Here is a 27,124-nt window from a genome sequence, read left to right as displayed (position 1 = left end):
AATAGCAATATGCGCTAATGGTATTAGATCAAAATGCCTCTAATATGCAAACTAAATGAGCAGATCCACCCAGTTATTGAAAGACTCACTTGAGTGATAACTGACACAATAAAACGTCTATCTGATATGGTTTGGATCTATGCCCCTGCCCAAATCTCATGTCAAATTGTAATCCCCAATGTTAGAAGTGGGGTCTGGTGCAGATGACTGGATCACAAAGGTGTTCCTCATGAATGGTTTAGCACAATCCTCCTGGTGCTGTTCTTGTGATAGTGATTGAGATCTGGTTGTTTAAAAGCGTGTAGTATCTCGCCACTCCTCTCTCTCACTCCTACACCAGCCATGTGAAGTGCTGGCTCCTGCTTCACCTTCCACCATGATTGTAAGTTTCCTGAGGCCTCCCCAGAAGCTAAGCAGATGCCAGCACCATGCATCCTGTACAGCCTGCCAGACTGTAAGCCAATTAAACCTCATTTCTTTATAAATTACCAAGTCTCAGGTATTTCTTAATAGCAATGCATGAACAGTATAATATACTACTATCCTTACCTCCTTCAGAAGTTCAACACTGTGCTCTAAAAGGTGAATTGAAGATGAACATTCACCAGTTATCTTTAAGCTGACTTCACTGACACACAGCAGCTGAAGACTCATCTGGGTAAGCTGAATTTTCCAGAAAACAGGATGACGCAAAAGGCTTAAACATACTTCCTCAATAAACATCATCGCCTCTGTTGTCTGTATCAAATCTTTTACCTGTTTAAAAAAGTCATTATATGATATTAAAAAATACACAAACCAAAAGATAATTTTAAAGTACACAAAAAGCTTTGAACAATGTAATTTTTTCTCTAAACCTATAAAGACTTAAAGGAGATGAAAAAAAGTTACAGAACTCCATGAAGGATTAACTATACAACTGCACCTTATCCTCTGGTTATTAACCAAAATCCAATTTGCTACTGTTTTTGTTACTGCTGGCTGGTACAAATTTCTTTTCTTTCATTTTTCTAGCTTGTCTGAGTGCAGATGTCTTAAAACAAGTTACATGACAATGACAACATGTTGAGGGAAATTAAGTTTAGTTTTGAATTCTCCAAATGAACTCTCATTTCTACAATTCCAACATAGATACCTGATAGTAAAGAGTCAGCATGTTATTCTAACACGGTACTAAGCCCTTTATCTGCAAGATACTTGCTCAGGCAGCCTTAACTGAGAGTATCATCTCCACACTTGGCAGATATAGTAAAAGACCATATTCAAATGGTAGAGTGTCTTCTCAACAGGCTAATGTATTAGATAGGAAGGACCTGGGTGCTCTTGAAAATCCCAATGCAATTCAAACCCAGCTGTTCTGATCAAAATTCTGGAGTTGGTATTAAGGATATGGTCCTGCTCACAGACACATTGGCATTTCCCAGAGATTACAAACAACGGACCATCTGCTTCAATCAGGAGCCTATGTCTGCTAAATTCATCAAGAAGAAAGCCTACGGTTGACCGGCAGTACCTTTTACCAGTGGTTATCACCATAATAACCCAAATGACTATTAGTTATACACAGAGAGAAAAATTAGTTGCTAGCAAACAAGAGAAAAAAGATATTAAAAGATCAAAGAGAAGAAATAGCAGAAAACATTGTTATAAAAAATAAACAGTCTGGTATAAATTATTTTGCTCTCTTGCAAACACACAGTAGGAAAGTCAAAAGGCCACAGAGAAGAGACGGATTTAAAATAAAGCCTAATGTTTACTTGACAATATATTTCCTTGAGTGCATTTATGTGTACATTTCTAATTTTCCATAACAAAAAAAGGTTCAAAAGACAATCTCAGCAACCTAGCATTAAAGGCTCTCTAATCTTTAACATTATCAAAGTTCTAAACAAGCATAATTTTGAAGTAACATTCTGTCTTTATGTAGAAATATATTATTTAATAATATAATAGGTAATATGTGAGGTGACAAGAGTCGCAATTAAAATGAAAAGGACTATTCTACATCTATAAAATGAAAGAGCAACTGGAAGGAGAAGAAACAGAAAAAGGAGTTTCACTGACCATTCTTTCATGATTGGTCAACAAGGTTGCATGGTTATTTCTAAAGCTTGTATTTTAAAATTTAAATGTGATTCTGTCTTAGTGCTCAGTATAAGTAAGACCACATCAAATCATGAGTGAACTCCCATTCACAATTGCTTCAAAGAGAATAAAATACCTAGGAATCCAACTTACAAGGGATGTGAAGGACCTCTTCAAGGAGAACTACAAACCACTGCTCAAGGAAATAAAAGAGGATACAAACAAATGGAAGAACATTCCATGCTCATGGGTAGGAAGAATCAATATCGTGAAAATGGCCATACTGCCCAAGGTAATTTACACATTCAATGCCATCCCCAGCAAGCTACCAATGACTTTCTTCACAGAATTGGAAAAAAACTACTTTAAAGTTCATATGGAACCAAAAAAGAGCCCGCATCGCCAAGTCAATCCTAAGCCAAAAGAACAAAGCTGGAGGCATCACACTACCTGACTTCAAACTATACTACAAGGCTACAGTCACCAAAACAGCATGGTACTGGTACCAAAACAGAGATATAGATCAATGGAACAGAACAGAGCCCTCAGAAATAACGCCGCATATCTACAACTATCTGATCTTTGACAAACCTGAGAAAAACAAGCAATGGGGAAAGGATTCCCTATTTAATAAATGGTGCTGGGAAAACTGGCTAGCCATATGGAGAAAGCTGTAACTGGATCCCTTCCTTACACCTTATACAAAAATCAATTCAAGATGGATTAAAGACTTAAACATTAGACATAAAACCATAAAAACCCTAGAAGAAAACCTAGGCATCACCATTCAGGACATAGGCATGGGCAAGGACTTCATGTCCAAAACACCAACAGCAATGGCAACAAAAGACAAAATTGACAAATGGGATCTAATTAAACTAAAGAGCTTCTGCACAGCAAAAGAAACTACCATCAGAGTGAACAGGCAACCTACAAAATGGGAGAAAATTTTCGCAACCTACTCATCTGACAAAGGGCTAATATCCAGAATCTACAATGAACTCAAACAAATTCACAAGAAAAAAACAAACAACCCCATCAAAAAGTGGGCGAAGGACATGAACAGACACTTCTCAAAAGAAGACATTTATGCAGCCAAAAAACACATGAAAAAATCCTCATTATCACTGGCCATCAGAGAAATGCAAATCAAAACCACAATGAGATACCATCTCACACCAGTTAGAATGGCGATCATTAAAAAGTCAGGAAACAACAGGTGCTGGAGAGGACGTGGAGAAATAGGAACACTTTTACACTGTTGGTGGGACTGTAAACTAGTTCAACCATTGTGGAAGTCAGTGTGGCAATTCCTCAGGGATCTAGAACTAGAAATACCATTTGACCCAGCTATCCCATTACTGGGTATATACCCAAAGGACTATAAATCTTGCTGCTATAAAGACACATGCACACGTATGTTTATTGCGGCATTATTCACAATAGCAAAGACTTGGAACCAACCCAAATGTCCAAAAATGATAGACTGGATTAAGAAAATGTGGCACATATACACCATGGAATACTATGCAGCCATAAAAAATGATGAGTTCATGTCCTTTGTAGGGACATGGATGAAATTGGAAATCATCATTCTCAGTAAACTATCGCAAGAACAAAAAACCAAACACCACATATTCTCACTCATAGGTGGGAATTGAACAATGAGATCACATGGACACAGGAAGGGGAATATCACATTCTGGGGACTGTGGTGGGGTGGGGGAGAGGGGAGGGATAGCATTGGGAGATATACCTAATGCTAGATGACGAGTTAGTGGGTGCAGTGCACCAGCATGGCACATGTATACATATGTAACTAACCTGCACAATGTGCACATGTACCCTAAAACTTAAAGTATAATAAAAAAAAAAGACCACATCAACAGCATTGTAGTCATCTCTAAGATGATCATTTCATAGTAGCATATTTTGAGCAACAATAAACTAGAAAATTCCTGGCAAAACAAAACAGAGAAAAGTTGGGAAACCATTTGCAATGGAGAGATTAAGAAAGTGAAGAAAAAAATAAGGAAGGGAGGGAGGTGAGGAGGAAAGGAAGGAAGGAAAAACGGGAAGGAAAGAAGGGAGAAAAATAAGATAGGATACAGATGGGGTTTTTTTAAAAGCTTATTTCATTTTGTTCTGAGAAGAATGGAAATGAATGAATGAGAAAAATGAAGGTCAAAAAGTACTTGCTAAAAAAAATGGTTGCCTTGCAAAATAGTACGCTTCCTCTATCACTAAAATATTCAATTAGCCATGAGATAGTCATGTTTCAGAGAGTATAAGAAACATCTGTATTGAGTGGTAAATGGATTATATTGTCTCTAAGACCACGTCCAACCCTCACACGCTTCATTCTAATAAAGCTGATTTGTTAAATTGATTAAGTATGCTACTGTCACTAGTTCCAGTACTTCCAAATGATGTATCCCCTTTTTTCTTACATAACTGTTAGGTTAAAAAGCCACAGATTCCCAGAAATATTCCACCGAGCTCATTTCTAAAAGCATTTAAGCCTGTCAACACAGGTTCATAAGATGAAGACAAACCTTTGCCAAGGAGCACAGAACAGGGTAATGCAGCCATGACGTGAAAAATGTACCCTAGTTCAAGATGTTCTGCCTATACATTGCTTTATTGCCCACACAAAACAAAAGCTTTGGAAAAGCCACAGGAGAATTCATTTTAATTAAATTTTCTCTGCCTTGATTACAGGAAAGCCTATTTATAAGTCGCAGAGGAAAGATTTACTCAAGTCACTCCCTGCTAACACAAACTTAAAGCAGGTCATGTGTGACCTCAAGTGATCGTTTTGAAATATGTTCACAGATTCCCTCCATCAGCTAAGCAGCATGGTGCTGCGATTCCAGGCAAATAGCAAACCTAGATGATGGGAAGAGATGGACTGATAAATGAATCACTACACTAAAATCACAACACCTGGGCAACTGGATTTTTTTTCATATGCAGTTATAGAGACAATGACTCAAATTTCTCTTTCCCCTGAACTGTGTCCGTGTTTTATCCATACCTCTGTTAACCACCTTTCATCTTTCTACTTTGAATTGTAAGAATATATGTACAGTACTTGTCCTAACTCATTTACTACATGTGTGCTTCTCAAGAGCAGGATCCCTGAGAGCTGCTGCATATGTTGCAAGGGGACATGTGGAAGCTGGAATCTAGCTGGCACTCAGCTGGCCAGGCTTTGCATCCTCAGAGCTATTTATGCTCTGAGACACATCTTTTTTTTTTTTCCAATGTGCACAGAGGTCTTTTTTTTCCTTGTTACTGTCCCAATGTCTACACAGAAGAAACTCAACTCAAAATCTTTTACCTGATAACTGTTTCTTAAACAAAGGAAAGTTTTCATGCTTGCTATTCCCAGAATGGACTATGTCGATTTATAATTTCTGTGTATTTAGTTAATATCGAATATAATATATTCATATTAAATCTAGATTTTGTTTCTTTCATCTTCCCCAAAAGATTGTAAGCATTTCTAGAGCGAGGATCATGTCTGAGTTTGCCAAATCACTTATGTTCTAGAACTACTTTGTCTATGACAATAACAACACTTACTGATGCTGACCTATATTTGTGGAGGAGGACAAAGACCTTACCTGCAAACATGGAACTATGTCACAACACAGTTGAAGTATCTGCTGTTCCAGTATTGATGGTTGATCTTTGTCACAAAGAACCTGGGGTTGAAGTAAGACTTTCAGCAGGGCTAGTCGGAGTTTAGCATATTCTTGTAACTGAGATGGTTCACAATACAGATACCACAGAAATGGTGCCATTATTTGAATGCATGAAACTTCTAACCTATAAGACATGAAATACATTAGCCAGTTATTGAGTTAAACACACTATCAAGCAGGTAAGTGGCAAATATCAACTTATAGTTCATGACATAACATAATCTACCATATCATCAAGTGTAACTTCTTTTTATGATTCTTCTATTCCGCTATGACCTGCCTACATCTATGCCAAACAGTTCTTTGTACACTGAGGAAAATTATTCAACACCTGGAGACTGTAAGCTAGATGCCCAGGATGAAGACAGTCTCTATTTGCACATTAGAATAGCAACTACATCTCTGAAATCAGTGTTTAGTGAACACAAGAATCATCTGGGCTGGGCACGGAGGCTCACGCCTATAAAAATCCCAGCACTTTGGGAGGCCGAGGCAGGCAGATCATGAGGTCAGGAGATAGAGACCATCCTGGCCAACATGGTGAAACACTGTCTCTACTAAAAATACAAAAATTAGCTGGGCGTGGTGGCATGCACCTGTAGTCCCAGCTACTCAGGAGGCTGAGGCAGGAGAATCGCCTGAACCCAGGAGGCAGAGGTTGCAGTGAGCCAAGATTGCTCCACTGCACTCCAGCCTGGCAACAGAGCGAGACTCCATCTTAAAAAAAAGGATCACCTGACAACCTTTCTAGAATTACAGATGTCAGGATCACCTCTCCAGGAGTATGACACAAACATGAATTTTTGGAAAAACTCTACAGGTGAGGATCTACATAAAAGAAATCCAGACAAACATCCCAAGATGATTATGATGACAGTTAACATTTACTTGTTAACCTGTTAACCCTTACAGTGTTCAAGTTACTGCATGTTATGTCTTTAAATCCATTTAATCCTCACCACAACCCTATGAAATAAAAAATAATATTATCCTTATAACACGGATAAAGAAACTGAAGGAGAGAGAGGTGAAATAATTTGTCAAGGTCTTCTTAAGCACTTCCCACCCTACAAATCTTTTGTATCTATTTAGATTTCACTATATCCTGAAAACTCCTAGTCCAAATTCACTAAAACACCGGAATGATCATCAAAAATAAAAATATGGTCATGTCATTAACTAGCCTAAACAGTATCTAGCCCAATTCACACACACCCTCCATCATTTGGCCTCTGTTTATCTTTCCAGCTTCATTTCTTGCTCTTCATTCACCACTAAACCACACTAAACTCCTTTCAGGTCTTTATCAAGCCATCTGGGCTTTCTTCTCACTTGCTATTCCCTCTACCTGTAATATTCTCCCCTTCTACCCGTCCTATTCCTTCTCCCTACCTAGCTTCTATCATCCTTCAGTTATCTGCTTTAAAATGACTTTCTCAGGTCCTTCCTTGACACTTCACCTTGATCAGATCACATCAGATGTGCTTTTAAGATACAATGCCTTTATTGCCATTACATTTTTTTAAGAGACAGTGTCTTGCTACATTGCCCAGGCTAGAGTGCAATGGCTATTCACAGGCACAATAATAGTGCACTTCAGCCTTGAATTTCTAGGCTCAAGCAATCCTCCTGCCTCAGTCTCCCAAGTAGCTGAGATTACAAGCTGTTATTATTACATACTTAATATCTGTATCCCCCTGCCAGACTATAAACCAAATGAGGCCACGGATTTCTGTTTACTGCTATTATCACCAATAACTGTACATACTAGGCCTTCAAAGAGATGCTCAATCATTTAATTAATTCAGTTACACTAAGTTACAGAGTAGTTTTATAATGAGCATGCAATTAAATGTCATGACTTTATTTTCTAATGTTTTTCACATTCTTATATATAAGGAATGATTAGATAAGATACAAAGATGAAATAAGAATTATCTATCCTCAAGAAGCATACAGTCTGACAGAGACAATCAGTTATGATCCTGAACTAGATGATAGAAAGTGACAACTGCCAAAAGAAAGGTATAAAGTGCAATTGCTTCACGGAAGAAACGGTATTTAAATTATGCTTGACCGTTCTCATTTAAGAGTGGGAGCTAAACCTTGGGTTCACACAGACATGAAGGTGGGAACAACAGACACAAGGGACTCCAAACAGAGGGTGGGAAGGAGGGGCAAGGGCTGAAAATTTTCCTGTTAGGCACTTTGTTCACTACGGGGTGACAGAATCAATAAAAGGCCAAACCTCAGCACTACACAATATACCCTTCCAACAGATCTGCACATACACCCCTGAATCTAAAATAAAAGGGAATTCTTTTTAATTATAATAAAATAAATAACACTTGACAACATAGTCTTACAATACCATACATTTCATAGCAATGTGATTTCAAAATGCCATTAAGATTAATAAAAATGTAAAAGTTACCAAGCCAATTAAATTTTATTCATTCATTAATTTATTCACTTGGTAAAATTTACTGATCACCTACAGTATACCTCACTCATCTACATGATGGAAACAAAACAAGAAATAAAAATAGATTAAGTTCCTGCTCTCATAGAGCTCACAGTCTGAAGAAATTTTTTTATCATAAGCTCAAATACTTATACAATCTATAAAAATCAAAAGGACTTTTCACTTCAAAATTATTACTGAAACATATATCTTTATCACACCTTCTACTTTCGGAAACTAAAAAAAGATAGATGAAGGAATCAGATAATGTATGTATGAAATACAAAGTGAAAGTTCCCAGAAAAGAGATTTAAGAAACTTCCTTCTCCATCTCTCTTTAATAATGTATTCCCCAAAGAATAAATACTATCCGGGTGTCAACAGCATCCATGGATGGCTTATCGGTTTTCTTCTACTTTGAGATGCTGAAGGTGAAATGTAAGGTTCATATAAAGAAATACATTTCCAAGATGCCATTATGATTTGACATCAGGAGCAAACGTTGAACTTCCTTAAGGACAATATACTATTTAAAAATCCCCTTGGCTTAATCTGTTCTGATTTTAGATTCTGCATGTGGTATCTGATGATTAATCATCACTTCGGTGGAGTAAGACATTACCAGGGCTTAGGAAAAAATGAATATTAAAAAAACAGATAATCTGAAATCCCAAAGTGATTTAAAATGTTTTCAAATGTAACCAATTATGTATGTACCTACACACAAGTCTTTTATATTTAAGTTCACCACAGAGGGAGAAGTACTAAAAAAAACAGACCTAGAGAGAGAGTAAAAAAATGGAGGCTTGGGCCAGGCACGGTGGCTCACACCTGTAATCCCAGCAATTTAGGAGTCCGAGGCGGGTGGATCATGAGGTCAGGATATTGAGACCATCCTAGCTAACACAGTGAAACCTCATCTCTACTAAAAATACAAAAAATTAGCCAGGCATGGTGGCGGGCACCTGTAGTCCCAGCTACCCAGGAGGCTGAGGCAGAAGAATGGCGTGAACCCGTGAGGCAGAGGTTGCAATGAGCCGAGATTGCACCACTGCACTCCAGCCTGGGCAACAGAGTGAGACTCTGCCACAAAAAAAAATAAAAATAAAAATAACGGAGGCTTTAGGCCCAACTCCACCACTAGCTAGCCAAGAAACCTTCAGTAAGTCGTTTAATGTTGCTCTCCTCGGTTCTCTCATCTGAAAAATTATGTTAGACTAGATAATCTTAAAGTAACCCAGCCTAAAATCCATGATATTATCAATTTGCACCATTCTCAAATTCTCAGTTCCTGAAAGGTTAAAGTCATAGGCCTTCAATAAATGAATGCAGAACTTAATTATAAAATAATACCCAAATACTGTGTGCAGAGGTGCATGCCTATAGTCCCAGCTACTCAGAAGGCTGAGACAGGAGGATCACTTGAGCCCAGGAGTTCATGTTCAGCCTGGGCAACACAGCAGACTCCCAATCTCTTAAAAATAATAATAATTGTAACGCCCCCCCCCAAAAAATCTAGCATGAAGATATATTGTCATTTTAGGACATATACATAATATTAAAATGAACATAAATAGCTAGCTATCCTTACAACATTTTGCTTTCTTCCCATAGTTGTGAATCGCTACTCATATACTCATTAACAACCTGTCACCCAGGCTGAAGTGCAGTGGTACAATCTCCGCTCACTGCAACCTCATTTAAAGAAATTCAACATTTATAAAGCACCTAGAAATGTGCCAAGCATCACTAATACAGAGAATAATGAAACACAGTCCCTGCCCTCAAGATTTCACAGTTAATACAGGAGAGTAATTATGATAATGTCGCAACTGTAAGGTATTATGTAACCATGCAAGAGACACACCTAATACAGCTTCTAGTAAGAAAAGACCCTAGGGCAAAAAAAATGCCTAAACAGAGATTTCAAATAAAGACATTTATCAGAAAGAGAGTGGGGTAAGATTCAAGAGAGTACAGTAGATACCAGTAAGTAAAAACATGGAGAGAAGGAAACAGCACTGCTTCCTGTGTGGAACACAAGGCAAGTCATTGTACTGCTAAAGCATAAACTGCGAGATGAAGATAAGAAAAGATAAAGCTGGTGAGATAGATTGGAACTGCATCATATACTAAGCCTACTATGACATATTAGATTTTATCCTATAGTCCAGGGAATTTCAAACTGTTTCAGAAACCAATCCTTTTTGTTTTCCCATAGAAAGCTTCCATAAGATATCAACAAGTAAGTGCTATGAAAACAGAGCCAAAGGGGTGGGAACATGCTCCATGCTTAGCCCATGCACTGCAAGTGCAGTTTGAAAACCACAGCCACAGAGACTTAAGCATGGGAATGATACTGTAAGATCTGCTCTCTTGATATATCCTTCTGAGGGATGTTTAGAGACTGGATTTGACCAGGACAAGACTGGAGGCAGAGACACCAGTTAGGAACAGGTGGCAAGAGCCACATCAAGAGATATTGAGGCCCTGAACCAGCGTCATGGTAGTAAGGATAGAAGAAAGGGGAGTAGCTTTGAGAGCCATCAGGAGGCCTTGGTGAAAGTACACTAACTGCACATATGGTGGCTATCTGATCCCACTTGGCAGTAATACTTTATCTCAAATGGCAGTTTTCTAATGGAGAGACTAACTCATTAGCCAGTGTCCAAGGGGAAGAACTTATCTCCTATATGTATTGTGTAGTAGCTTACTGAATTATTCTAGCCAACTTTCCTAACCACTTACCAATGCTTAACTTCCTTAATAACAGCTTTTCTCATATTCAGTATTTCAACAACCAATAAATCTGGTAGATTTTTTTCTTTTACTCTTTAAAAGAAAATAGAAAACTACAACCTGACATGAAGTCCTTGCCCATGCCTATGTCCTGAATGGTAATGCCTAGGTTTTCTTCTACGGTTTTTATGGTTTTAGGTCTAACATGTAAGTCTTTAATCCATCTTGAATTAAGTTTTGTATAAGGTGTAAGGAAGGGATCCAGTTTCAGCTTTCTCCGTATGGCTAGCCAGTTTTCCCAGCACCATTTATTAAATAGGGAATCCTTTCCCCATTGCTTGTTTTTCTCAGGTTTGTCAAAGATCAGATAGTTGTAGATATGCGGCGTTATTTCTGAAGGCTCTGTTCTGTTCCATTGATCTATATCTCTGTTTTGGTACCAGTACCATGCTGTTTTGGTGACTGTAGCCTTGTAGTATAGTTTGAAGTCAGGTAGTGTGATGCCTCCAGCTTTGTTCTTTTGGCTTAGGATTGACTTGGCAATGCGGGCTCTTTTTTGGTTCCATATGAACTTTAAAGTAGTTTTTAATGGCCTTGGGCAGTATGGCCATTTTCATGATATTGATTCTTCCTACCCATGAGCATGGAATGTTCTTCCATTTGTTTGTATCCTCTTTTATTTCATTGAGCAGTGGTTTGTAGTTCTCCTTGAAGAGGTCCTTCATATCCCTTGTAAGTTGGATTCCTAGGTATTTTATTCTCTTTGAAGCAATTGTGAATGGGAGTTCACTCATGATTTGGCTCTCTGTTTGTCTGTTATTGGTGTATAAGAATGCTTGTGATTTTTGTACATTGAGTTTGTATCCTGAGACTTTGCTGAAGTTGCTTATCAGCTTAAGGAGATTTTGGGCTGAGTCAGTGGGGTTTTCTAGATATACAATCATGTCATCTGCAAACAGGGACAATTTGACTTCCTCTTTTCATAATTGAATACCCTTTATTTCCTTCTCCTGCCTAATTGCCCTGGCCAGAACTTCCAACACTATGTTGGCACATATACACCATGGAATACTATGCAGCCATAAAAAATGATGAGTTCAGGTCCTTTGTAGGGACATGAATGTAACTGGAAATCATCATTCTCAGTAAACTATCACAAGAACAAAAAACCAAACACCGCATAGTCTCACTTATAGGTGGGAATTGAACAATGAGAACACATGGACACAGGAAGGGGAACATCACAATCTGGGGACTGTTGTGGGGTTGGGGGAGGGGGGAGGGATAGCATTAGGAGATATACCTAATGCTAAATGACGAGTTAATGGGTGCAGCACACCAGCATGGCACATGTATACATATGTAACCTACCTGCACATTGTGCACATGTACCCTAAAACTTAAAGTATAATAATAATAAAATTAAATTTAAAAAGAAAAGAAAACTACAACCTGCTCTAGGATGGTTCTTCAGGAGAAAACATTATAGATCAAAGCAGCTAAAAAGAAACAAACAAACAAAAAAAAACCCTAGCTCTAAAATTAGCATATACCATTCTGTCTCCCTCACTTTATTTTACACTTTTATTTTACATTACCTTTCAGGGCACTGCTGGAAAAACGCTGTCAGCTGCTGCAAAAACACTGGCCAGCAATCAGGTCTGTGTTCAAGCACAGTTATCAAAGGATGAGGATGATTTCTGAAAGACACAGAAAGTCACATGGGAACCTGTTATTCAGGACTACACATTTTCAATATCCAAATATAGCAGCAAAGAAGCCAGTACCTACCATCTAGAGACTTTTTTCACGATTCATAATTGTCACAAAATGATCACTTGCTCCATTTGTTGCAGAGTTGGTTCATCAGAACTGACTCTCCCCCCTGCCTTTTCCTAACATTTTTGCAGAAAACAAAATGGACACAGGAGCCTCAGAGATCCAAATCTGGGAATGGACTCTTCCATTTAACAGTTCTGTGACTTTGGCCAAGCTCCTGAATCCAGCAGCTCTCTCATATCCATCCCCTTGATCCTTCATTCCTAGAGGTTACAAGCCACCTCCTCCTCCTGCTACCGCTGCTCTCTTTCCAAGCCTGGTAAGTTCCATTTCCTCCAACCTTACCCGAACCCATAAGCTCTGTCTCTCCCTCTCTGTTTCCAGGTACTTCATTATTCCCATTGTATGGTTCTGCGCTTCCCCAGCATATTTAAGAATAGAAAAAAGGAAATATTCCTTCCATCTTAACAACTATCCAAACTGAAGATGCATAAAATTTCTGTTGAATGCAGATGAATCCGTTTATTTGAGCTACTTCTATTAAGATACCTAAAGAGACTATATAAAACATAAAATCTGAAATTTGAAGGATTCTCAAAGAATGGGGTTTAACCCCAAAAAAAAACAAAAAGTACAACCATGAGTTATTTTAAATAGTTCAAAAAGGCTACTCTACTAATAATTGTAAATTGGTCAGCTTTTTAAACTATTAAGTACTATACAATTTTTAGCTATTATTTATGTGGCTTTTTCCTCCAAGAAAATATTTAAATAAGATTTAAGGCTGGACGCGGTGGCTCACGCCTGTAATCCCAGCACTTTGGGAGGCCAAGATGGGTGGATCACCTGAGGTTGGGAGTTCGAGACCAGCCTGACCAACATGGAGAAACCCTGTCTCTACTAAAAATACAAAATTAGCCGGGAATGGTGGCGCATGCCTGTAATCCCAGCTACTCAGGAGGCTGAGGAAGGTGAATCACTTAAACTTGGGAGGCGGAGGTTGCGGTGAACTGATATTATGCTATTGCACTCCAGCCTGGGCAACAAGAGCAAAACTCCATCTCAAAAAAAAACATTAAAATGCTCATTGTAAAAACATGCAAACAATACAGAAATATCAATCTTTTTAGCATAAAAGGAACCACATACACGGAGCTAGTCTTTAATTTTAATATATCTCCAGCAATGATTTTTCAAAAAAGAGTAACAATCAGACCATCAGTTACACTCAGATGATTTTTTAAGATTGCCTTCATGGTGATTCTCAAAATGTGATGCCTTACTAGTAAGATCAACTGGGAACTTGTTAGAAATGCAAATTCTCAAGCCCTAGCCCAGACCTAATAAATAGCCCTGCAGGAAATTCTGATGCACTGCTATAAAGCAGTGGTTCCTATTCTTGGTTGCAAGTTAGATTAGCTGTAGAGCCCTTAATACTAATGCCCAGGTCTGTTATCTTAGACTGCTAGGAATGAAGTTTGTCCCCTAGCAATTTTTTAAAATTCTACAGGTAATTTTAATATGTTACCAGGATTCAGAACTGCTACAAGTAAAAACTACTGCACGGGTGTTGGGGGTGGGAAATGTACTATTTTTTTTTCTCTTTTAAAAACAGAAGAGTACATTAGATCTATCACATTGAAACACATGTGAAACACCTCTCTGACACTACCACACAGTTTGTGGGTATAACACTATCTATTTCTTCTTAACCTCACCTAACCTATCATGTACTAACTAACTTCACATGCTGGCAGCCTCCTGCTTGCTAAAGCACAGGCTATTTCTGACTGACGGGAATGCTACCATTGCTAAGGGATCACTCCAAGCAACTTTTTATGCCAAAACTCAGAAATCGTATCAAAATCATTCATGTTTCCCAATTCCAAACCCTTTGGCAGTTAAACCTACCTAGAATTTGCTTCCACTTTGGTTGCCACAAATACTAAGAAAAATATTACAAATTCTAAAAGCCTCTCAGGTATGTAGTATCAGATGAAATTCTTAGATTGAAAGTTCAGCAGGTCGTGTTCAATTAAAACCACAAAACAGGCCAGTAGCAGTGATTCACACCTGTAATCCCAGCACTTTGGGAGGCCAAGGCTGGAGAATTGCTGGAGGCCAGGGATTTGACATCAGCCTGAGCAACATAGCAGGACCCAGTCTCTACCAAAAACAAAGGAACAAACAAACAAACAAAAAAACACTCACTACATAAAAAGGAAGAAACAGCAGAAATAGCACCTACAATTATTTCAGCAGCTTTGGGTTCTTCTGATAAGAACCATATCGCTATAAAGAGTATCAGATATAATCATCCATTAATCTTCCAGATAATGGTGGCACTTATAAATATTTAAAAAGAAAACTCAACAAGTTATCACACAGTTTTTGTATGGTCATAAGGCACCGAAGTGCTTTTCAATATTCTTCCTTTATAAGTCATCTCCCTTCCATCCTTCACACCCCACCAAAAAAAACCGCTAAGAATCTATCTCCTTTTTAAAATACTCAGTTTTGTCCAAATTGAATCAGGTCAACAGAAATAAAAAATAGTATAAAATGAGATTAAAAGTGATGTATATGTGGCAAACAATTCTAATTTACATTTATGCATACCGAGGGAGCCACTCCAGCTTTGTTGCATGATGCTGAAGGCCTGTTTTGCTAGCTATTGGATTCAGCAGATTTTATTTAGTATCTCAGACCTAAATTCAAAAAATGAGATTAAGTAGAATATAGTAGGATAGGGATCATAAAGATTAATTACTGATTTAGACATCTGGATAATTAAGTTTTCCAAATAATTGATTATGTCAGAACTGAGTGGCAATATTGCAGGTGATGATACACAGTATTGATTCTAAGAAGCTGAAAAGCTTGAGGGAAAAGGGAAGTATAAGAGGAGAACACTGAATCTTCCTGTTGATCAGCATTTGATTACTAACATACCATTTCAACTAAGTATACTAACCTATAATCAATTATAACTGCCACAATTTTAATACTTTAATCATAATGAAGCAAACAGCTAAATTCTCCCTTAAGAGTCATCAAATTGGTGTGTAATACATATATAAAATAATCCATAAAGCCTTAGGCTCACGTAATATAATGGATGTATTTTTTAATTCAATAAACTTCATTGCACAACTGCCCATGCATGAGAGTTTCTCAGTCTTACCACTACTGACATTTTGGGCCACATAACTCTTTATTGTGTGGGTTGTCCTATGCACAATGGAATGCTTGGCAGCATCCCTGGCCTCCACCCACTAGATACAAGTAGGATTTCTCCTAGTCATGACAATCAAAATTGTCTCCAGACATTGCCAAATATCCCCTGGAGGACAAAATTGCTCCTGGTCAAGAATCACTCCATTGAGTAAATGACAAGCACTATGGAAGGCACATCACCGAAGAAAGCATTGCACCAGTCCCAAATTGTTAAAAAAAAAAAACACTATGCTTCCAGTTTCACCTTTCCTAACACTGAATGAAAAGTAGTTAATCGATCAAGATCAGAGTTGTGATTTTCTTATGGAAATATAGTTATCAAACTGGATGCACAAGAGTAACAGAACACACTAGAAACTAGAAGGCTTAAAATGGAAAACAAATGTAAAATTATTCCTTTGGAAAACATAGAATAAAAGGCATTAAAGAATATTCATGCTAATTTGGGTATGATAGAAAATGAAGTTATTTTCCTACTTAAAAAATTATAATTAAAGCATTTAAAATTCCATAAGGCTAAGTATTGCTCAGTCTTGCTGTATTCAAGAGTTGATTATTACATTTATGGATTACTCAAGATTTTTCTTTACTTTCTTCCTCTCACCCACTGCTTGTTAGCCTTTCCATTTTTTCAAGTACATCCAACTGAGAAAGGTCAAGGTAAATGAAAGGATCCACAATTTAACTGAGTCAAGTTAACAACTTTAAATTGGAAGCATTACTGATCAAAAAAGGGAAGAATGTGGTACAAAGAACGCCAAAACACAACCTGAGTCATGCCTCAAATTTCTAATTATCCCCAAACCAGCTATTCAAGTTATGAATACTAAGTTGCCTAACAACACTTTATTCAAAAGGATAGATGGGCTGATGAATCAGCCCGATCACTTGTAAATAAATCTAACAGTAGCAGACAATAACCTATACAAGTTTTGAAAAAATAAACACAAACACTGCACATTATCATCGTTATTATTATTTATATTAATATATGCAGTGGCTACAGAACACTATCATAATCATTTACTGTTATGTAGCCATGTCCATATCTCAGAAGAAAATAGAAGTGGAAAAGAGGGAATCCTCCCTAACTCATTTTATGAGGCCAGCATCATCCTGATACCAAAGCCGGGCAGAGACACAACCAAAAAAGACAATTTTAGACCAATATCCTTGATGAACATTGATGCAAAAATCCTCAATAAAATACTGGCAAACCGAATCCAGCAGCACATCAAAAAGCTTATCCACCATGATCAAGTGGGCTTCATCCCTGGGATGAAAGGCTGGTTCAATATACGCAAATCAATAAATGTAATCCAGCATATAAACAGAACCAAAGACAAAAACCACATGATTATCTCAATAGATGCAGAAAAGGCCTTTGACAAAATTCAACAACCCTTCATGCTAAAAACTCTCAATAAATTAGGTATTGATGGGACGTATTTCAAAATAATAAGAGCTATCTATGACAAACCCATAGCCAATATCATACTGAATGGGCAAAAACTGGAAGCATTCCCTTTGAAAACTGGCACAAGACAGGGATGCCCTCTCTCACCACTCCTATTCAACATAGTGTTGGAAGTTCTGGCCAGGGCAATTAGGCAGGAGGAGGAAATAAAGAGTATTCAGTTAGGAAAAGAGGAAGTCAAATTGTCCCTGTTTGCAGACAACATGATTGTATATCTAGAAAACCCCATTGACTCAGCCCAAAATCTCCTTAAGCTGATAAGCAACTTCAGCAAAGTCTCAGGATACAAAATCAATGTACAAAAATCACAAGCATTCTTATACACCAACAACAGACAAACAGAGAGCCAAATCATGAGTGAACTCCCATTCCCAATTGCTTCAAAGAGAATAAAATACCTAGGAATCCAGCTTACAAGGGATGTGAAGGACCTCTTCAAGGAGAACTACAAACCACTGCTCAAGGAAATAAAAGAGGATACAAACAAATGGAAGAACTTTCCATGCTCATGGGTAGGAAGAATCAATATCGTGAAAATGGCCATACTGCCCAAGGTAATTTACACATTCAATGCCATCCCCAGCAAGCTACCAATGACTTTCTTCACAGAATTGGAAAAAACTACTTTAAAGTTCATATGGAACCAAAATAGAGCCCGCATCGCCGAGTCAATCCTAAGCCAAAAGAACAAAGCTGGAGGCATCACACCACCTGACTTCAAACTATAATACAAGGCTACAGTAACCAAAACAGCATGGTACTGGTACCAAAACAGAGATATAGATCAATGGAACAGAACAGAGCTCTCAGAAATAACGCCGCATATCTACAACTATCTGATCTTTGGCAAACCTGAGAAAAACAAGCAATGGGGAAAGGATTCCCTATTTAATAAATGGTGCTGGGAAAACTGGCTAGCCATATGGAGAAAGCTGAAACTGGATCCCTTCCTTACACCTTATACAAAAATCAATTCAAGATGGATTAAAGACTTAAACGTTAGACCTAAAACCATAAAAACCCTAGAAGAAAACCTAGGCATTACCATTCAGGACATAGGCATGGGCAAGGACTTCATGTCTAAAACACTGGAAGCAATGGCAACAAAAGCCAAAATTGACAAATGGGATCTAATTAAACTAAAGAGCTTCTGCACAGCAAAAGAAACTACCATCAGAGTGAACAGGCAACCTACAAAATGGGAGAAAATTTTCACAACCTACTCATCTGACAAAGGGCTAATATCCAGAATCTACAATGAACTCAAACAAATTTACAAGAAAAAAACAAACAACCCCATCAAAAAGTGGGCGAAGGACATGAACAGACACTTCTCAAAAGACAACATTTATGCAGCCAAAAAACACATGAAAAAATGCTCACCATCACTGGCCCTTAGAGAAATGCAAATCAAAACCACAATGAGATACCATCTCACACCAGTTAGAATGGCAATCATTAAAAAGTCAGGAAACAACAGGTGCTGGAGAGGATGTGGAGTAATAGGAACACTTTTACACTGTTGGTGGGACTGTAAACTAGTTCAACCATTGTGGAAGTCAGTGTGGCAATTCCTCAGGGATCTAGAACTAGAAATACCATTTGACCCAGTCATCCCATTACTGGGTATATACCCAAAGGACTATAAATCATGCTGCTATAAAGACACAGGCACACATATGTTTATTGCAGCACTATTCACAATAGCAAAGACTTGGAACCAACCCAAATGTCCAACAATGATAGACTGGATTAAGAAAATGTGGCACATATACACCATGGAATACTATGCAGCCATAAAAAATGATGAGTTCATGTCTGTAGGGACATGGATGAAATTGGAAATCATCATTCTCAGTAAACTATTGCAAGAACAAAAAACCAAACACTGCATATTCTCACTCATAGGTGGGAATTGAACAATGAGAACACATGGACACAGGAAGGGGAACATCACACTCTGGGGACTGTTGTGGGGTGGGGGGAGGGGGGAGGGATAGCACTGGGAGATATACCTAATGCTAGATGACGAGTTAGTGGGTGCAGCGCACCAGCATGGCACAGGTATACATATGTAACTAACCTGCACATTGTGCATATGTACCCTAAAACTTAAAGTATAACAATAATTAAAAAAAAAAATGGAAGTGGAGAGGTGAGATAAAATTGTGAGGGAAAAGAACTGAATTAAAAGAATCAAAAGTTCCAAATTTACATCCTGGCTCTGCCACAAATCAAGTGATCTCAAGCAAGAGAATTAACCTCTCTTGGCCAAAGTTTCTTCACCAATAATAAAATAAGGCGATCAGACTAAATACTTTCCAGAGCGAATACTGTATAACCCAAGCCACCCATTAAAACCCTAACCTTAAGACTGCTCAGGACTACAGATGCAAACAAACCCTGTAAAGGCAAAAAGTATTAAAGGTGGCAGCTCTCAGCTACTAATAATTCTATGCCAAGCTTAAATGGCTCTAAGCCCAATGTCTAATAAAATCTAAGTCCTCAAAAAAAAGGACTTCTATTTTTAGCTCAGAGATAAATCACCCTATATTTTTTTATTTCAGAAGGAAGTGTTATGTCCAGGAAGAGCCCACAGAAATTTTTTAATCTGAATTTCCTAACTCCTGAGATAGCCAATAGATTCTGCTTTCTCCTTAATAGAGAATTGTATTATTTCTAAATATCAAGATCAATACAAACCAGGCAGTCAGGTCACCCTTCATTGGTCTCTAGTGCCTCTAATGTCTCCTTCACTGTGTGCATTTTTTGTTGTTGTTTTTCTGCAATAGATGATCCAATTTGTTGTACCTCCTTTGGCACTTCCCCATTTCGTGATTTGCAAATATTTTAATTGCTATTTTAAGTAAAGCATTTAATATAATATCTAGCAAATAGAAGAACTACATAAGTGGGTACAATTATGATTATCATCAAGATAGGTTTGTTTATTAAATTATAGCATAAGCAGCATGAAAGCTGGGTATGTGTCTTCTTAATCTTTTTGTTTCCCTTTCAGTGCCAAATGCCTATCTACAATAAACGTAATTATCACATACACACTTTCCCCAAATCACCTTTTTAAACTCTTAAACTGGTTGATTCATGTTGTTGCAAATGACAGAATAAACAGGATCATGGGAAGCCAATTTAACACAGTCCCTCTAGCACATTGTCCCAAAGTCAACACTGTTCAGAGAAGAAAAAAGCAGAGGAAGCACACAGAGTTGGTACCTAATATTTCAGTGTTCCCACTCTTTATTAATATCATCAACAGCACAGAGCAGTACAGTACATGCATCCTAACAGAATGGAGTGAGGAAGGAGTGAATGATAAATGCATGGTTCCCCCAGACTAGCACAGAGGCAATGATAAAATCTGTAACTGGATTCACCTTTCCAAGTATAAACACATCAATCCTAATAGAAATGAGGGGGTTAAAAAAAATAGTCTGTGATAGGCAAATCAAAAAGCAAAAGTTATTTGTAACCTTTAGGTCACCTCAACCTTCTTGCTACATCTCTGAATATAGGAAAGCTATGATTTGATTTACATCATAAATTCAGCGACAGACACAGATTGCCTTTTCTGTGTGAGGAAACAATGCCTGCAGTCACCATGCATTTTCATGTATGCAGCTGTGACCCTGGTGCTTTCAGAAGCATAGCATAGCACTTACTACATCAAATATGCATTTTAAAAGCATTTCTCTACCTGCTCTGAATTTTTATTTGAAACTGCTGGTTAGAAGCTAAAAAGAGATTTTTTTAATCTGCAGATTTTAAGTTAGAAGATGCATAACGAAAAATTATGAAGATTCCACCATGAATATCACTATAAAGAAGAAATAATAATTCAAAAGGAAAAACTAAACAATAATTGTGAATTTCTATATATCCTACAACACAATTTTAAGACAAATGCATCTTTATCCTTCCCACATAAGCTCCTAGAAAGACTTCGAGCAAAGCAACTTTAATTTTGTCATTTTTGAGTCACAACACCTTTTCTTTGAGTCTATAAGGCAGAGACAGCATAAGATTCCTTTCTGTGAAAATATACTTCCTATTACAACGATTCTCCCCCAACAATGAACCTTTCCCAGAATCCCTTTTAGAGAGCCAGGGTTTTAATGCAATGGTGCCTGCCAATGTCAGAAGTCTGGAACTATTTTAAGTACAAAGTAATTGGTTGGGGGGAAACATAAATGTACTTAGGGATCCACAACCTTCCTTTCATTAAGTTGTGTGCTATGATCACTGGGGGAAAAAAAACACCTAGAGACAAACAAATAGGATAATAGGCAAAAACTACAACATTTTTGTGGCCTTAAAGACATTTAGCAGCAAATTATAATCCCAATCTTTCAATTAAACATCTACAATTAGAAGAACATATAAAGTGTTTTCTGGTGGCTACTGCTAACTGGAAGACTGTATGATGGGTGCAGCTTATTCTAAAAGTCTGATTATAAATCTTAGGTGTAAACCCCAGGTGATTAGACCCATAAATTGTGAATAAAGACTTTCCTGAGTGGAAAAGAAGAAGGAAAAGAGGAAATAAAAACAGGAGCAAAACATGTAGCTAGAGAGAAAGAATGGAACTGCAAAGAGACAGATGGCCCTTGAAAAGTATTACTAGCTATGTTTTCTCAATTACTGCCCTACCTTCCTCTTTATCCTTAACTCCATTGGGCTTTTTCAGGAGTGAATCTGACTACATCCTTTCCCATCTTCTTTCTCTGATTTTTCTATAATGATTTCTACAAGCCCTCTGAAACCATATGTAAAATTTTTAGTATATATGCATGTGTACATTTTCTATAATAGGAGAAAGTCCAAAACTTTTATGTAATTCTTAAGAAGGTCCTGACCACCCTCCCAAAAAAGGCTACATACCAGTAAATTAAACCTAAGTATATCTTAGGTAGTTGCTACAACTCAGTCTCCTTAGAACTCCTGCTTTCAAAAAAACTATAAAGACCATTTCCAAAAAAAAATTTAAAAAGTTATATGATATGTTCTGTCCAGAAATGGTGGCTCCCTGAGTGTAAGTTGTTATAACTTCAGCAAAATAAAAATAAAATTAATTATTGTATTAATGTATTCCACTGGTTTCAATCCCTTATGGCAGCTTGATTGTATAGGTGTCATACTTACATTATGCTAAGTAAAACCAAACATTTATACCTCAGGAGATCCCTTCAGGTAATATATTCAAGTAATGAAATAATCAACCCCCCAAAAGCAAAATGCTCACTTTGACAATAAAACCATAAGATAATAGCTGATCGTCGATTTTTTTAAGAGTTAGAGGATGAGCAACATCATTAAGAAACAGTAAATGTAATAATGAAATGTATGTAGATATGAAAAACAATAACTAAACTACTCTAAAGACTACAGTTCATTTTCAATAACTTACAAAAAGTAGTTTACCTTTAAAATATATATAAAAGGCAAAAAAAAAAAAACACTAAAAATGCAAATGGTCTTAGCATCAAAAAATTCCAAGATAAATAAAATTTTATATCTATGGAATGGATTAAAAGGAATGAAGTATGGATGCATGCTACAACATGAATGAAACCTTGAAAACATTATGCTAAGTGAAAGAAGCCACACTGTATTGTTCCACTTATAAGGCAAATCCAAAGACACAAATAGTAGTGTTTTCCAGGGGCTGGGAATAGAGAGTATTGGGGAATGACTGATAACGGGTATGAGGTTTCTTTTTGGGGTGATGAAAATATTCTGGAATTAGACAGTGATTATGGTTACATAACTTCCTGACTATAATAAAATCTACTGACTTGTACGCTTTAAGAGTGAATTTTATAGTACATAAATTATATCTCAATAAAAAGGGATTTAAAATATTTCAGACTTAACTCAGCCACATACTATTTTTAATTTTAGAAAGCACATTTATCAGCAGTATAAGTATACTGCTAATGTAAAAAAAAATTTAACTTGGATTTCCCTTAGAAAATAAGTCCAAATCAGAATCTGATATATCTCCTTAATATCCTTGATTGATAGCTTAATAGTCATTTCCACCTCTAAACCAAATAGCTATCTCTTTTGCCACTAATAAACATAAAGGGAGTGGTGGAGTTGGGAAAATCACCATTTTGTAGTCATCACAGTGAAAATTGGTTGGGAGTGCTGAGCTTAATGAGGAGCAGAATATTTGCATGGTCTCAAAATGTATTCCCCACAGATTGCTTATTAGTTCAAAAAAATGATAACTATTCAGTACAGAAACCACACACTACCTCGACTGTGTAGCCAAAATTAAAATCCCCAATGAGGGGCAAGAGGGACACCAGTACCTCCAGATGTGATTAACCTCAGAAGGACACAGCGTCATTTATATGGAATTCAAAAATGCCAACACCATGAAAAACAAAGAAAGGATGAGAAACAGTTCCAGATGTTAAAAGGCTAAAAAGGTATGGCAACCAAAGGCAACAGGTGATCCTAAACTAGATCCTATACATTAAAAAGTAAGGCGGCAAAAGGCAGGACATTATTGAGACAACAGACAAAACTGGAATATGGACTGTATGTTATAAAAAGTATTATATCAATGTTCAATTTTATATTCTGGTTATATAAGAGAATATCCTTGTTCTTAGAAAACACACTCTTGAATGTTTCCAATCTACTCTCAAATGGTTTTTATTAATTATACAGAGATAATGATAATGCAAACATGGCAAAGAGCAAAAACACTGATAAATCTGGGTAAATGGTACATGGGAGTCTTTGGTGCTATTCTTGTAACTTTTCTCGAACTTTAAAATTATTTCAATACAGTAAGTTAAAAAGAAATGTTTTTAATGACTTCCCACGGCTCTTTAAGTAAAACCCGGTCTTTGCCATGGCCTTTCATATTCTAGCCCGTGCCTACTTCTCCTGAGCCAATGTCCCGGCCTCCCCTCCCTAGAGCACTAAACTCCAGCCACTCTGCCTCCTGTTAGTTCCTCTCATGTGCCAAGCTTCTAGGCACTTGCTTTTCCTTCCTCTGAAACACTCTTCATGCAGCTGGCTCCATGTCTTCCTTCAAAACAGACAATAGGAGAAAATGCAAAAACAATGCTTAAAAAGCTAGTTATTGAAATTAAAAATGGGGCTACATTTTGATATCCACAACCACACACTGGTCTTTGCGCACTTAAATCAGTATTTATCTTGGACTTGCTATTGCTTTTCTTTATTTGATGGCCTTAAGTGATGAACACATTTGCCCTCAGTGATAAGGAAATAAACCAATATAAATTACAAAATCTCAGCCTTTAGGATACACGTCTTTAAGTCCTTAAACTTAACTCTCCCTCCAAATAAACTATATACTATTACACAAATAGATGAACAAATACAAACATAGAGCACATAACTTTAATCTACTCAGGGTACAATCATCCATTACTGTTGGCCTAATTGTCCACTTCCGAGCACACCATCTGCCACGAACATTTAATATTCCCTTATTTCAGAAAGTACAGCTTCATGTTTACCAGACCAAACCTTCCCACAAATAAGATTCTTAACATTTGATATTTGTGCATGTCAGCCACTGTCTGGCACATCAGAAAAATACACGAATTCTGGAACAAGCAGTTACTGCTCATGAATTCACAGCTATTTCCTCACTTTAGCTGAGGGAAGAGAGATCTTTAAAAGATTGCCATAATATGAATATGCAGAGAAAAAATTAAAAGCAAAAGCACATGATAAAATTTAGGGGAAAAATGGCATCTTACAAAGCAAATAAGAAAATGAGCCTCTAATAATTTACAACCCATGAAAATTTATTTATTCTTCCCTGCAACCAAAACACTAGCGAAATATTGATTCTCTGCCCACTTCCTGCACGATCAATATTAGAAAATGTTTAAACAGGCCCAGTGCCATGGCTCACACCTGTAATCCCAGCACTTTGGGAGGCCGAAGCAGGTGGATCGCTTGAGCTCAGGAGTTCAAGACCAGCCTGGACAACCCTGCCTCTACAAAAAATTAGCAGGGCGTAGTGTCGCACCTGTAGTCCCAGCTACTGGGGGAGCTGAGATGGGAGGATAGCTTGAGCCTGGGAGGCAGAGGTTGCAGTGAGCCAAGACTGCACCACTGCACTCCAGCCTGGGTGACAGAGTGAGACCCTGTCTCAAAAAAAAAAAAATGTTTAAATAACTTAAATATAAGTGTGTTACACAAAAGAGGGGTTCTAGCTAAACAAAAGAAAATTCAGACCAAATAAAAAAGGGAGAAAAAAAGAAAGTCTGAACTAAAGGATACTACATAGTGGTTTAAAAAAATGTTAATTAGTATAACTAGAAAGTGGCTTCTGAAATTCTTGAAAATAGTACCTGCATCAGAGGTCACAAACTTGTTGCCCACTGATTGCATCTTGTGAGCAGATGTGTTTTGTCTACCTACCCTACATTTTGAAAAGTTTGAATTGGTTGTCAGCATTCAGTCAGGAGATTTCACATAAAAACTTTATTTATATTGAAAGATCTGAACGTGTGGCAACAATGAAGTCCCATTGTTTCATGGCAACAATTGGCCAGCAGTTCTCCACCCTTACCTGCACGCTGGAAATCACGTGGGAAGCTTTTAAAAAAATACCAACACCTAAGACCAACCCTTCAGTCATTCTGGGTAAAGCCCAGTCATCCATATATTTTAAAGCTCCTAAGAGGGCTCTAATGTGCAGACAGAGTTGAGACTCATGGGTCTAGAGTTTTATACTTGGCATATGCTCCTTAGCTAATCACAGTAGCCAAATGTACTGCACTATGCTTCCAGTTACAAAGGTAACTGAGAGTTGCAGCCTTATTTAAATATCTATGCCTAATCTTGTTTAAGCCACAAAGCTAAAGAAAAGACTGCTTAGAAAGGAGGGTCCAGTTAAGCAATATGAGCTGCATTAACTACATATGATTCTAATCCAGTGTTTCTCAAAGCCTGGTCAGTAAACCACTTCCATTCAAATCCCGTGTTAAAAATGCAGAAGTCTGGGCCATGCTCCAAACATTAAAAACTCCAAAGATGAGCTCCTTATGCACAGTAAACAAGTGTCAGTTTCTAAGAGGATGTTCAAGGTTCTCTTCCCCTCCTCCTCCCACAACCACCCACCCACCGTCTGACCATGAAGAACACTAACATGTGTTGGGGCCATGGAATTTTTTCATTGAACAAACCCATGATCTCTTACATTTTCTCTCTAGCATCCAAAGTTGGCTTGCTCTCTTTGGAGTGCTTTTCCTTTACAGTCACTGTTTGCTTCTGCTCTTGGCCTCTCTATTGTCCATGACTGACACATGTAAGACAAACTTGGTGCCTTGGTACTTAGGAAGATACAGACTTCTTGCCACCCAAATAGACAAAGAAAAGGAGGCATAGGTAAGCCACCCAAGATCCCCTCTAGTCTACCTCAAAGGGGACCTTGAAGCTCACGTATGGAACCATCAAGCTCCCAGATACTGAAGCAATAGTTCTCATGTGTAATCCACAAATGACATATTTCCATATCACTGAGCAAATGGGTAACATGCTGATTTCTGAGCCTCACACAAAACCCACTGAATGAATAAGAATCTCTGGCAAGTGGGATTCAGAAGCTGTACT

The 27,124-nt window shown here is 37.6% G+C and overlaps 1 protein-coding gene across 19 annotated transcripts in view; it reads right to left on the bottom strand.

Moving 5' to 3' along the window:
* Positions 1–27,124, bottom strand: part of FOCAD (focadhesin) — a 340,326-nt gene that overhangs the window by 225,163 nt on the left and 88,039 nt on the right. For 18 of the 19 annotated variants that reach the window (XM_047423537.1, XM_047423539.1, NM_017794.5 and 15 more), the window contains 3 exons: positions 12,597–12,698; positions 5,715–5,919; positions 550–756 (listed from right to left, as the gene is read on the bottom strand). In XM_047423537.1, coding sequence (XP_047279493.1) covers positions 550–756; positions 5,715–5,919; positions 12,597–12,698 — 514 coding nt within the window. Of the gene's footprint in view, positions 1–549; positions 757–5,714; positions 5,920–12,596; positions 12,699–14,688; positions 14,866–27,124 lie in introns of those variants that run through there. The other variant, XM_017014859.2, reaches the window with a different exon arrangement.

The sequence above is a fragment of the Homo sapiens genome, chromosome 9, assembly GCF_000001405.40.
Source record: "Homo sapiens chromosome 9, GRCh38.p14 Primary Assembly".
NCBI lineage: Eukaryota > Metazoa > Chordata > Mammalia > Primates > Hominidae > Homo > Homo sapiens.
The sequence above is the reverse complement of the archived record's forward strand: the minus strand, read 5'-3'. Positions and strand labels throughout refer to the sequence as shown.